Genomic DNA, 12,515 nt, shown 5'->3' on the forward strand with positions numbered 1-12,515 from the left:
GGTCAGGAGTTGGAGACCAGCCTGGCCAGTATGGTGAAACCCCATCTCTACTAAAAATACAAAAATTAGCTGGGCATGGTGGCACACACCTGTAATCTCAGCTACTTGGGAGGCTGAGGCAGGAGAATCACTTGAACCTGGGAGGCAGAGGTTGAAGTGAGCCAAGATTGCGCCACTGCACTCCAGCCTGGGTGACAGAGCCAGAATCCATCTCAAGAAAAAAAAAAAAGATTTCATAATTGACCTGGCACAGTGGCTCACACCTGTAATCCCAGCACTTTGGGAGGGTGAGGCGGGCAGAGTTTAAGACCAGCCTGGCGAACATGGAGAAACCCTGTCTCTACAAAAATACAAAAATTAGCTGGGCATAGTGGTGCACGCCTGTAGTGACAGCTACTAGGGAGGCTGAGGCAGGAGAATCGCTTGAATCTAGGAGGCAGAGGTTACAGTGAGCCAAGATCGTGCCACCGCACTCCAGCCAGGGTGACTGAGCAAGACTCTATCTCAAAACAAACAAAAAGAAACAATTCATGATTGATTGCATGTGGCTAGCAAAAGCAAAGAGGTAGCAAAGTCCAAAGTTTTACCTGAATTAGTAAGTCTACTTCTCTCTATCTCTAGTGCAAAGACCTTACTGCAGGCCACCATCAGCTCTGGCTCCAGTTACAGCAACAACTCCATTATTTCCCCTCCAATAACTTATCCTCACAGTGGTTGGCTAGATTTTTTTTTTTTTGAGATGGGGTCTTGCTCTGTTGCCCAGACTGGAGTGCAGTGGTACGATCATGGTTCACTGCAGCCTCAACCTCTCAAGTGATCCTCCCACTTTAGCCCCCCAAGCAGCTGGGACCACAGGTATGCACCACCATGCCCAGCTAATTTGTTAAAATTTTTGTAGAGATGGAGTCTCCCTATGTTGCCCAGGCTGGTCTCGAGGTCCTGGGCTCAAGTGATCCTCCTGCCTTGGCCTCCCAAAGTGCTGGGATTACAGGCATGAGCCAACTTGCATGGCCTGAGTTTTTGTTAATGGATTCATCTTAAATCATACTTGGACCAAGTTATTCTTCTATTTATAAATCTTCAATTGCTTCTCCAAACCTCTAAACTCCTGAAAATGGCTTATAAGTTTCTCATGGCTCTGTCCCCCTCTACTATTCCAATCTCATCTCACACCATTCTGCCTTGCCAACCACAGCAAGCTGATTCCTGGCACTGGGCCTTTCTAGATGCTCTTCCTGCCTGGAGCCCTTTCCCCAACCCAGCTCCTCTTTTCGCATAATTTCCTCATCCTTTGGATCACAGCTCAAATGTCATCTCCTGTCCTAACCATCCTACCCAAACCGGGTCCTTCCTTGCTATTTTCTGCCTCAGCACTGATTCCTCAATAGCACTTACCAATTTAAAAGTTTAAAATATATATTTATCTACATTATTGTTTCTTTCAACTATAAACTCCACAGATCCACAGAAGGAAGAGATCTTCTCTGTCCTGTTCCTTTTTACTTGGTGCCTGGCACATGAAACGTATTTAGTAAGTATTTTTTCCGGCCAGGCACGGTGGCTCATGCCTGTAATCCCAGCACTTTGGGAGGCTAGGGCAGGTGGACCACCTGAGGTCACGAATTCGAGACTAGTTTGGCCAACAAGGTGAAACCCCGTCTCTACTAAAAATACAAAACTTAGCCAGGCATAGTAGCGGGTGCCTGTAATCCCAGCTACTTGAGAGGCTGAGGCAGGAGAATCACTTGAACCCTGGAGGCAGACATTGCAGTGAGATGAGACGGTGCCATTGCACTTCAGCCTGGGCAACAAGAGTGAAACTCCATCTCAAAAAGAAAAAAAACCAAAAAACAAATAAATACTTTTTCCAGCTTGGGCAATATAGTGAGACTATGCCTGTACACAAAATTTTAAAAATTAGCTAGGTGTGGTGGCACATGCCTGTAGTCCTGGCCACTCGGGAGGGTATGGTAGGAGGACTGCTTGAACTTGGGAGGTTGAGGATGCAGTGAGCTATGATCACACCATTGCACTCCAGTCTGGGCGACAGAGTGAGACTTCTGTTTCAAAAAAAAAAATTTTTTTTAAATGAATGAACGAAGGAGCTGGTGAAGTTATTCATGAGAAAGTGTCATGAGGAAAAGGTAGGTTTAGAGGGGAAGGTATACATCTTTAATACTGTGGTGTCAGGGTATCTGTAGATAAATAGTTGGGTTTAGAAATGGAAAAAGACACTTTGGGAGGCCAAGGCGGGTGGATGGCCTGAGGTCAAGAGTTCGAGATCAGCCTGGCCAACATGGTGAAACCCCATCTCTACTAAAAATACAAAAATTAGCTGGGGGCAGCCACTCATGCCTGTAATCCCAGCACTTTGGGAGGCTGAGGCGGGTAAATCACGAGGTCAGGAGTTTGAGACCAGCCTGGCCAACATGGTGAAACCCGGTCTCTACTAAAAATACAAAACATTAGGTGGGAGTAGTGACAGGCGCCTGTAATCCCAGCTACTTGGGAGGCTGAGGCAGAAGAATCGCTTGAACCCGGGAGGCAGAGGTTGTAGTGAGCTGAGATAGCACCACTGCACTCCAGCCCAGGCGACAGAGTGAGACTCCGTCAAAAAAAAAAAAAGCAAAAATTAGCTGGGTGTGTTGGCGGGCACCTGTAATCCCAGCTACTCGGGAGGCTGAGGTAGGAGAATTGCTTGAACCCAGGAGACAGAAGTTGCAGTGAGCCACGATTATGCCACTGCACTCCAGCATGGGTGACAGAGCGAGACTCTGTCTCAAAAAAAAAAAAATTAGCTGGGCACGGTGGCACACGCCTGTAGTCCCAGCTACTCTGCAGGCTGAGGCAGGAGAATCGCTTGAACCTGGAAGGCGGAGGTTGCATTGAGCCGAGATCGCGCCATTGCACTCCAGTCTGGGTAACAGAATGAGATTCTGTCTCAAAAAGAAAAAAGGAAAAAGAATTGGCATTTGATACTGTACCTCTAGCCCTTCCCGGGTGAGCTGGGCCTGAACAGGGGCTGGCACTACTTCAACTACAGTATTAGGCCTTATCACGATATAACATAACAGTCGAGAACCTGAAAGAACTTGAGACTTCTCATTACTAAGCACTCAAGTGAAAAAAAAAAAAGAACTTAGACCAACATAGTTTAGAAACAAGTGCTAGTGATGTGGTTTAGGCTATAAGTGCAATAGTAACTTATAGTAATGAATTAATGAGGGTCAAAAGAGTTAGAATAGGCCTTGGGCGGTGGTTCATGCCTGTAATCCCAGGACTTTGGGAGGCCGAGGCAGGCTGATTGCTTGAGTCCAGGAGTTTGAGACCAGCCTGGGTAACATGGTGAAATCCCGTCTCTACAAAAAATACACAAATTAGTGGGTGTGGTGGTGTGCACCTGTAGTACCAGCTACTCAGGAGGCTGAGGTGGGAGGATAATTGAGCCCCGGAAGTTAAGGCTACAGTGAGCTATAATCACGCCATTGCACTCCAGTCTAGGTGACAGAGTGAGACCCTGTTTCTAAAAAGGAAAAAAAAAGAAAACAAAATTAAAATTGTCAGAAGTCTGGAAGATAAAGACACTTTAAATTTATTCCTTCAAAAATGTTTACTGAATATTGTACCTGTTAAGTGTGAGGCCCCAAGCCAAGTGTTGAGAATACCCACACTTGTGTGAATAAGACACAGTCCTTGGTCTCTACTCACTGACGGTCTAACAGGGAAACAGACATGGTTACCTTGGAATTCACAGGCTATGTATAGACTTATGGTCCATTGAAAAAAGATAAACAGGCTGGGCACGGTGGCTCACACCTGTAATCCCAGCACTTTGGGAGGCCGAGGCAGGCGGATCACAAGGTCAGGAGATCAAGACCACCCTGGCTAACACGGTGAAACCCATCCTACTAAAAACACAAAAAATTAGCCGGGCGTGGTGGCAGGCGCCTGTAGTCCCAGCTACTCGGGAGGCTGAGGCAGGAGAATGGTGTGAACCTGGGAGGTGGAGCTTGCAGTGAGCCAAGATTGCGCCACTGCACTCCAGCCTGGGCGACAGAGCGAGACTCCATCTCAAAAAAAAAAAAAAAAAGAAAAAAGATAAACATAGACACATAGACACGAATAGGGCCAGGGTCAGTGGCTCACGCCTATAACCCCAGCACTTTGGGAGGCTGAGGCAGGAGGATCACTTGAGGCCAGGAGTTTGGGAGCAGCCTGGGCAACATGGTGAGACCTCATCTCTATCAAATAAGATAATAAAAAAGACACAAATATATAACAATAATAAGTGTTATGAAGAAACATAAGCAGAGTAAGAGGAACACAGAGTGAGCTGTGTCAGGTAGGATATTTAGAGAAGCCCTCTTCAATTAAAGTAATATTTGAACAAGGGCCTAAAGGAGTGAGTTTGAGTTCCCTAGATGTCTTGGGGAAGAGTATCCCAAGTAACAGAAATAAGTGTAATGGCAGGCTTGTGCTTGAATAGCTAGAGAAATAGCAAATGTGTCTGGAGTGGAGTGAGTGGGAAGGAGTGTGGAAGTCAAAGAGGTAGCAAGGCCAGGTCACGTGGGGCCGGGGTAGCACTCTGGATTTTACTTAGCTTGAGATGAGAAAAGTCATGCAGAAAAATTTTAACTTGATGGAGCAAGCAGAGGGAGTAATCACAGATCTGGGAGTATAGGAAAGTAAAAATGGAATCAGTGGTTAAGGAACTCAATTCAACATGTGGGATGGATTAGAGGCAATCCAGAAGGCGATTCATTCCCAACAGTTCAAGTGCAAGATGATGAAAAGTAACCAGAATGGGCAGGAAGAATGGTAAGAGCTACATAAAAATGAGAAGTTTTCAAAGAAAGCAATGGGATTTTCAGGCTTGGTGGGGATGAATGTACTTGTGATGTAGCTTCAGAGCTGCTGACTTCAGATACAAACAGCTGTCCTGTCAGAAGCAAATGAGGCCAAAGGAACTGTTCTTAAAATGGAACCAAAAGAGTTTCAGTAAACAAAACTGTTGTTCTTATAAACCTGTTTGTAACTGAAACTGTTCTTTGTTTGAAATAGAAATGGAACGGTCTTTTTTTTTTTTTTTTTTTTTTAACGGAGTTTTGCTCTGTCCCCCAGGCTGGAGTGCAGTGGCACGATTCCAGCTCACTGCAACCTCCACATCCCGGGTTCAAGCAATTCTCCTGCCTCAGCCTCCCGAGTAGCTGGGATTACAGGGAACTGCCAACATGCCCAGCTAATATTTGTATTTATAGTAGAGATGGGGTTTTACCATCTTGGCCAGACTGGTCTCAAACTCCTGATCTCTTGATCTACCCACCTTGGCCTCCCAAAGTGCTGGGATTACAGGTGTGAGCCATTGTGTCCGGCCGAACAGTATTTTTAATAATTAAAGAACCCAAAATAATTTACCCCTTCCTGAAAAGTAAAGCAAGTTGATCCTATTTATCACCTGAAAATGCAACAGTCATGAGCAGGCAGGCAAAGGAGCTCTGGTGTGAGCCTAAGTCCACTTCTGCATATCAGCAAATTTTATTAGAAATGCCTGTCTCCCAGTTTTGAGTCTAAATAATCAAATGTAATGGAATATTCTTAGTATAATGTTTATATCCTTACTGAAACAGTTTCTTGTCACTTATTTTGTTCTTTACAATTTTCTTTCTTTCTTTTTTTTTTTTTTTCAGACGGGGTTGTGCTCTGTTGCCCAGGCTGGAGTGCACTGGCGTGGTCTCGGTTCACTGCAACTTCTGCCTCCTGGGTTCAAATGATTCTTCTGCCTCAGCTTCCCGAGTAACTGGGATTACAGGCACCTGCCATCACGCCCAGCTAATTTTTTGTATTTTTAGTAGAGACAGGTGTTTCACCATGTTGGACTGGCTGGTCTTAAACTCCTGACCTTGTGATCTGCTCGCCACGGCCTCCGAAAGCGCTGGGATTACAGGCGTGAGCCACTGCCCTGGGCCTACAATTTTCTTAACTAGGGTTGAAGGCTCTGAAAATATGCAGAAAATCATATAATGGCCTTATGAAGGTTGTATATATGGCAGAAGGATTCTGTTTTTCTGGACAATAAAGATAAAAAAGTAGAATATATTACTGACATCAGTTTAGAAAAATGTATAGTAGTGTAGTGTACATACAGGTAATTGAACAAAGAAATATCAATAACAATTGGTAAGAGCATTTTTTTTTTTTTTTTGAGACAGAGTCTCCCTCTGTCGCCCAGGCTGGAGTGCAGTGGCAAGATCTCAGCTCACTGCAACCTCTGCCTCCCAGGTTCAGCAATTTTCCCTGCCTCAGCCTCCCAAATAGCTGGGATTACAGGCGCCCGTCACCATGCCTGGCTAATTTTTGTATTTTTAGTAGAGACAGAGTTTCATCATGTTGGCCAGGCTGCTCTCGAATGCCTGACCTCAAGTGATCCACCCACCTTGGCCTACCAAAGTGTTGGGAATACAGGCGTGAGCCACAACGCCTGGCCAAGAGCAATTGTTATAATTGCTATCACCAATAATTTTTTCATATTTCTGTGGCCACACTTAAATGAGTCATCAAATGATTTGATATTGTGTGGATAATACTTAATATGAAAACTTTTAAAATATGTTGTCCCATCTCAGTTACTTAAACTTACCTTCCTACTATCCCAAAGGTTAGGCAGATGACAAATGCTGTTTTTCTTCTGTCTCTCTCTCTCTATATATATGTATATATGTATTCTGAGACAGGGTCTTACTCTGTTGCCTAGGCTGGAGTCCAGTAGCACAATCAACCTCCCAGGCTCAAGCGATCCTCCCATCTTAGTCTTCTGAGCAGCTGGGACTACAGGCATACGTCACCATGCCCAGCTAATTTTTTGTATGTTTTTGTAGAGATGGAGTTTTGCCATATTCCTCAGGCTGTTCTCCAACTCCTGGGCTTAGGGGATCCACTTGCCTTGGCCTCCCAAAGTCCTGGGATTATAGGCGTGAGCCACCATGCCCAGCTCTCCTCAATACTGTAGTGCTGATTACACCGAGAGTGTAAAAACCATTTGAAATACTTAATCATTGCTTTGAGGACACGAACAGTAACATAGCAACTTAGGGGTGGAACAAATTTTAGAGAAAGCATTGTTTACTTATTAGAAAATTATTTATGTTGATTTAACCTGATTTAACCAACTAGACTACTTTTTAAAATCTCTGGGGCCAGGCACGGTGGCTCAGGCCTGTAATCCCAGCACTTTGGGAGGCCAAGGCAGGTTGATCACCTGAAGTCATGAGTTCAAGACCAGCCTGGTCAACATGGTGAAACTCTGTCCCTAGTAAAAATACAAAAATTAGCTGGGCATGGTGACATGCGTCTGTAGTCCCAGCTACTCGGGAGGCTGAGGCAGGAGAATCACTTGAACCCGGGAGGCAGAGGTTGCAGTGAGCCGAGATCGCACCACTGCACTCCAGCCTGGCAACACAGCGACATTCCGTCTCAAAATAAATAAATAAATAAATAAATAAATAAATAAATCTCTGAACACACAGATATTGCTTAAATAGCTTGAACCCGGGAGGCAGAGGTTGCAGCAAGCCAAGGTCGCACCACTGCACTCTAGCCTGACGACAGAGCGAGATTCCGTCTCAAAAAAAAAAAAAAAAAAAAATCTCTGAACACACAGATACTGCTTAAATAGCACAAAGTTCAAAGAAACCTTGATTTAACCAAATCAAACCACTGTGCCAAGGTCAAAACAAATCAAGATCATTCAAAAGGAGCTGAATAAAAAGAGATAATTAAACTAATGCAGGTTTGAGATCAGGTATTTGCCTCTTTGAAGAGTGACCCTGATTTTGTCTGACCTCAGAAAGGTTGTTTCTCTCTGAGCTCTATTTCCTCTTCAAAACATTGAGAGGCTTGTGTCTGTGCAATTTTAAAGTGTTTTTGGATCTATAACTTGGGATTTTGTTATAGTGGCTCCAAACTGTAAACAATTTGACCAAAAGTATCATCTTCATCTTAAGATTTTAACTGGGCGTGGTGGCTCAAACCTGTAATCTCATTTTGGAAGGATGAGGCAGGAGGATCTCTTGCAAGACCTTCTCTTTACAAAAACAAACAAACAAACAAACAAACAAATAAAAACCTAGCCAGGCATAATGGCACACACCTGTAGTTCCAGCTACTCAGGAGGCTGAGGCTGGAGGACTGCTTGAGCCCAGGAGGTTGAGGCAGCAATGAGCTGTGACTGCACCACTGCACTCCAGCCTGGACAACAGACTGTCTCAAAAAAAAAAAAAAAGTTATTGTACTTGGATCTTGTACAAAGGAATTGAATTGTTAAATGCTACTTACAGCAAATATTTATTTATTTTTATTTTTTATTTTTTGAGACAGTCTTGCTGTGTCAGCCAGGCTGGAGTGCAGTGGCACAATCTTGGCTCACAGCAACCTCCGTCTCCTGGGTTCAAGCAATTCTCCTGCCTCATCCTCCTGAGTAGCTGGGATTACAGGCATGTGCCACCACACCTGGCTAATTTTTGTATTTTCAGTAGAGACAGAGTTTCACCATGTTGGCCAGGCTGGTTTTGAACTCCTGACCTCAGGTAATCCGCCCGCCTTGGCCTCCCAAAGTGCTGGGATTACAGTTGTAAGCTACCACGCCCGAGCAAATACATTTTTAGTAAAGTTCTGAGGCAAATGATGAAAACAGGGTTAGTATAAAATTTAGTATTTAGTTATTTGAATTTTTACTGACCTTTTTTAGGCCTGACACAGTGGTTTATTCTTTTTCTTTTCTTAGAGACAAGATCTCACTCTGTCATGCAGGCTGGAGTGCAGTGGTGAGATCACAGCTCACTGTAGCCTCGAACTCCTGGGTTCAGGTGATCCTCCCACATCAGCCTCCTGAGTAGCTGGGACTACAGGGATGTGCCACCACACTGGCCACTTTTTAAAAATTTATTTAATTAAAAACATTGGCTGGGCATGGTGGCTTACGCCTGTAATCCCAGCACTTTGGGAGGCTGAGGCGGGTGGATCAACTGAGGTCAGGTGTTCAAGACCAGCCTGGCCAACATGGTGAAACCCTGTCTCTACTAAAAATACAAAAATTAGCCAGGCATGGTGGCAGGAGCCTGTAATCCCAGCTACTCGGGAGACTGAGGCAGGAGAATTGCTTGAACCCAGGAGGCGGAGGTTGCAGTGAGCGGAGATGGCACCACTGCACTCCAGCCTGGGCAACAGACCAAGACTCTGTCTCAAAAATATATATATATATATATTTTTTAAATAGAGATAAGGGGACTCTCCCTGTTGTCCAGACTGGTCTCAAACTCCTGGCCTCAAGTAATCCTTCTGTCTCAGCCTCCCAAAGTGCTTGGATTACAGGAGTGAGCCACCTTGCCCAGCCCGACACAGTGGTTTAGATCTGGCTTTTTTTTGTATGTAATATAACACTTCATAGCAGGCATTTGGTATTAAATGAATTAGGTAAGATGTACTTCACACTGAGGTTTCGAAACCGCGTGGCATGACATTTTAATCCACAGTACAAATCTGTAAAGGAGGGCTTTATCGTCAGCACAGAGCAGGAAAAACCTAAATAGAATGAAGGCAGCTAAGATGATTACTCAATCATTAATTAACTATGTTGTCCAATCACCGCAGTTTCGACCTCCCTTTGGCTTCAAAAGTCAAAAAAGTCAACTTGCAAAAAAAAAAAAAGTCTACTTGCTCTGAAAGGAAGTTTGAGTTCTTTACCTTACTGTAAACTCTTAGAAGAGGAAACAAAACTGCCATTTAAATGTGCTAATGAACTTGAGCGTGACTATGCTGTGAATCAGCGAGTTTCAAAATTAAAATTCCTCTGAGTCCTCCAGTCAAAGACAAAGGCCTCCTTCTTGGCTTGATCACACTATTAACATGTACACATATTTAACCACCTCTTTTTAAAACCCCTTATAATTTACATCTGAAACACGAAGACGAAATGTGAATGAAATACTGCGATGAACATTAACCGCCCCAGCTCCCAGTGGTGGTACGGTCTCAACAGAGGACGATGACTTCTATGGTCTCAGGTAATCTTCACAAAACCCGAGGAGAGGAACTGTCAGTCCCACCCCACGAAAGCGGCTACTGAATCTCAGATTGCCCCACGATCCTGGCTCTGCGAGCGAGGTCACGTTCACAACGGCGGGAATTTCCGTAGCGGTGACACACGGCACTTCCGGCCGGCCGTGAGAGTCGGTGACGTGGCGGCGAGGCCGGGCACGGTCGTCGGGGTCGGGGCACCAGGAGCTGTCAGGTGGCCTCGGGGCAGCCCGGCTGGCAGAGAAGAGTTCGCCGGCGCGGCGGCGGCTGCTGCGAGCCCGGAGCCGGAAGTGCCACGTGTCCTGATTGCGGCTGCGCGGCCGGCGGCTGACAGGCACTTCCGGCCAGGGCCTCCCTCCTTCTCTCTAGGTTTGGCTGCCGCCTTCTAGCCGGGCGTTCGCGGCCCCGCCGGCCCGACTCTCAAGCCTCAGCTCCCAGGCTAGGCTGTGGCCGCCGGTGGCCTGGGGAGAGTGCGGCGCCATGCCTCGGGCTTAATGCGCCCCCCCCTCTTCTCCCAGTCTTCAGTCTTAAGTCGTTAGCCTCCTCCCTCCGCTTTCAGCAGTGGTCTTTCAGCTCTCTTCTTGTGCGCTGTTGTCGACCCCGACCAGCCCCTTCCAACCCAGTCATCATGTCCCAGCCGGGAATACCGGCCTCCGGCGGCGCCCCAGCCAGCCTCCAGGCCCAGAACGGAGCCGCCTTGGCCTCGGGGTCTCCCTACACCAACGGTGAGTGCTGTCCGGGGGGAGGGCGCAGCCTGGCCAGGGCTGACTGACCTTTGCGTGCCACTGCTGCTTGAGGCGACATAGATAGAGAGAGTGACCTCCTTACCGGGTTCTGGCGCGGATGGTGGTGGGCGGCTGGGCCAGGGGACCACGGCAGTTGTGCACCTGTAGCCCCAGGCTCGTCTCAGTCTTTCACATTTATTTAGTCGGTCACCAAAACAGTAAATGAGCACCTGCTGTATGCAACGCCCTGGGTGAAACACGGGTGAGAAAATGCCTCAAAACTCGAATATAAGGATCATAGTGTTTGTGTGCCTTCGCCTTCCTTGCCACCTCACCCCAGTCTCCTAGAGAGCAGGATGTGGGGTCTGATTCTTCTGGGTTCCGCAGGCCCTGAAGTGGGGTGGGGGTCGTACTCAGTCTGAGTTTCTGGAGATGAATGCATGCTTTTGGGACACCCCTTTAGGGCCTACTCATCTCTCCCAGAACCTTCCCAGAATTGTACCTACAACAGCTGTTCAATGTTTCAGCTGTGGAAAAACCAAATAGAAGGGAGGATCTCCTGGTTGACTTCTAGATGTCTGGACAGCATTTGGAAAGTGGGTGGACACAACTCTCTGAATCTCTGACAAGAGTCTACATGTACATTATAGTTTGTCATTTGATGTGAGAATGTCTTATAATTTTATACCTCTTCTAGGATTCCTTAAATCGTCCTACATTGTGATTTGCTAAGATTATTTCAGTTGTTACAATAGACAAAGACTTTCTGCCGACAGATTGCCTACTTACCAATTTACTTACAAATCTTTGGTTTACAGAAATAAGACTAGTAGAATAATGCTAAAGAACTTAAGTTGCCCATTAGAGTCTAAGAGTTCTGTGAAGTTGGAGAATACAGACAGTGACTAAAATCTCTAATTTACATTGTTTTTAGAGAAGACCGCTGTTTTCTTTACAAAGATGGCTCTAAAAGACTTTTAAAAATGTCTGTGAGTAGGCAACTATGTGGGCAGAAGAAAGAATAAGTGGAGGAAAGCCACTGAAAGGGTACTGAGTTAACCATTCTTTCTCAAAATTATGGTAACAGATTATGTACACTACATTTTATTCTAGAATATTTAGTAACATTTACACTGAGGATGAGAAAAAATGTTACATGGCTATGGATTTTTCTTATAATCTATAAATTGCAGTTTTACATTAACTTTAAATGACAAATCCTCAAATGTGCTTCAACATTTATATATGAGTGTAGTTGTCATAATATTGAAATGTTAAAGGGATTTGACCACTGTGGTATGCTGTATTAGAGATACTGTCACTATGTTGATTTGATACAGTCCAACAGACATTTGTTCCACATCTTTTTTTTTTTTTTTGAGATGGAGTCTTGTTCTGTTGCCCAGGCTGGAGTGCAGTGGTGGTGATCTTGGCTCACTGCAACCTCTGATTCCTGGGTTCAAGCGATTCTCCTGCCTCCTTAACCTTCCAAAGTGCTGTAATTACAGGCCTGATCCACGGTACCCAGACCTCTTTTTTAAAATATAATTTTCATAGTCTTTTTATAAGTTCCATTTCTACAGGGTTTTTTGTTTGTTTGTTTGTTTGTTTGTTTTTTGAGACGGAGTTTTGCTTTTGTCTCCCAGGCTGGAGTGCAATGGCGCTATCTCGGCTCACTGCAACCTCCTCCTCCCAGGTTCAAGCAATTCTCCTGCCTCA

The 12,515-nt window shown here is 45.4% G+C and overlaps 1 protein-coding gene across 7 annotated transcripts in view, besides 4 other annotated features; it reads left to right on the forward strand.

Annotated features, from left to right (window-relative positions):
• Positions 9,949-10,008: an enhancer, noted in NCBI's record as "active region_23159". NCBI's record gives its function as "activates an Ori minimal core promoter by ATAC-STARR-seq in GM12878 lymphoblastoid cells {active_cell/tissue: GM12878}" and the evidence as "EXISTENCE:reporter gene assay evidence [ECO:0000049][PMID:35858748]".
• Positions 10,005-12,515, forward strand: part of SEC24A (SEC24 homolog A, COPII component) — a 79,528-nt gene continuing 77,017 nt past the window's right edge. For 5 of the 7 annotated variants that reach the window (NM_021982.3, XM_006714523.3, XM_047416649.1 and 2 more), the window contains exon 1: positions 10,408-10,796. In NM_021982.3, the coding sequence (NP_068817.1) occupies positions 10,700-10,796 (97 nt within the window). In that variant the 5' untranslated portion in view covers positions 10,408-10,699. Of the gene's footprint in view, positions 10,059-10,407; positions 10,797-12,515 lie in introns of those variants that run through there. The other 2 variants (XM_017008961.3, XM_047416648.1) reach the window with 1 other exon arrangement.
• Positions 10,019-10,308: an enhancer, noted in NCBI's record as "active region_23160". NCBI's record gives its function as "activates an Ori minimal core promoter by ATAC-STARR-seq in GM12878 lymphoblastoid cells {active_cell/tissue: GM12878}" and the evidence as "EXISTENCE:reporter gene assay evidence [ECO:0000049][PMID:35858748]".
• Positions 10,019-10,593: a biological region, named in NCBI's record as "H3K27ac hESC enhancer GRCh37_chr5:133984123-133984660".
• Positions 10,056-10,593: an enhancer, noted in NCBI's record as "H3K27ac hESC enhancer chr5:133984123-133984660 (GRCh37/hg19 assembly coordinates)". NCBI's record gives its function as "activates a minimal SCP1, AML or CMV promoter by ChIP-STARR-seq in naive H9 embryonic stem cells {active_cell/tissue: H9 hESC(naive)}" and the evidence as "EXISTENCE:reporter gene assay evidence [ECO:0000049][PMID:30033119]".

This window comes from Homo sapiens, chromosome 5, assembly GCF_000001405.40.
Source record: "Homo sapiens chromosome 5, GRCh38.p14 Primary Assembly".
Taxonomy (NCBI): Eukaryota; Metazoa; Chordata; class Mammalia; order Primates; family Hominidae; genus Homo; species Homo sapiens.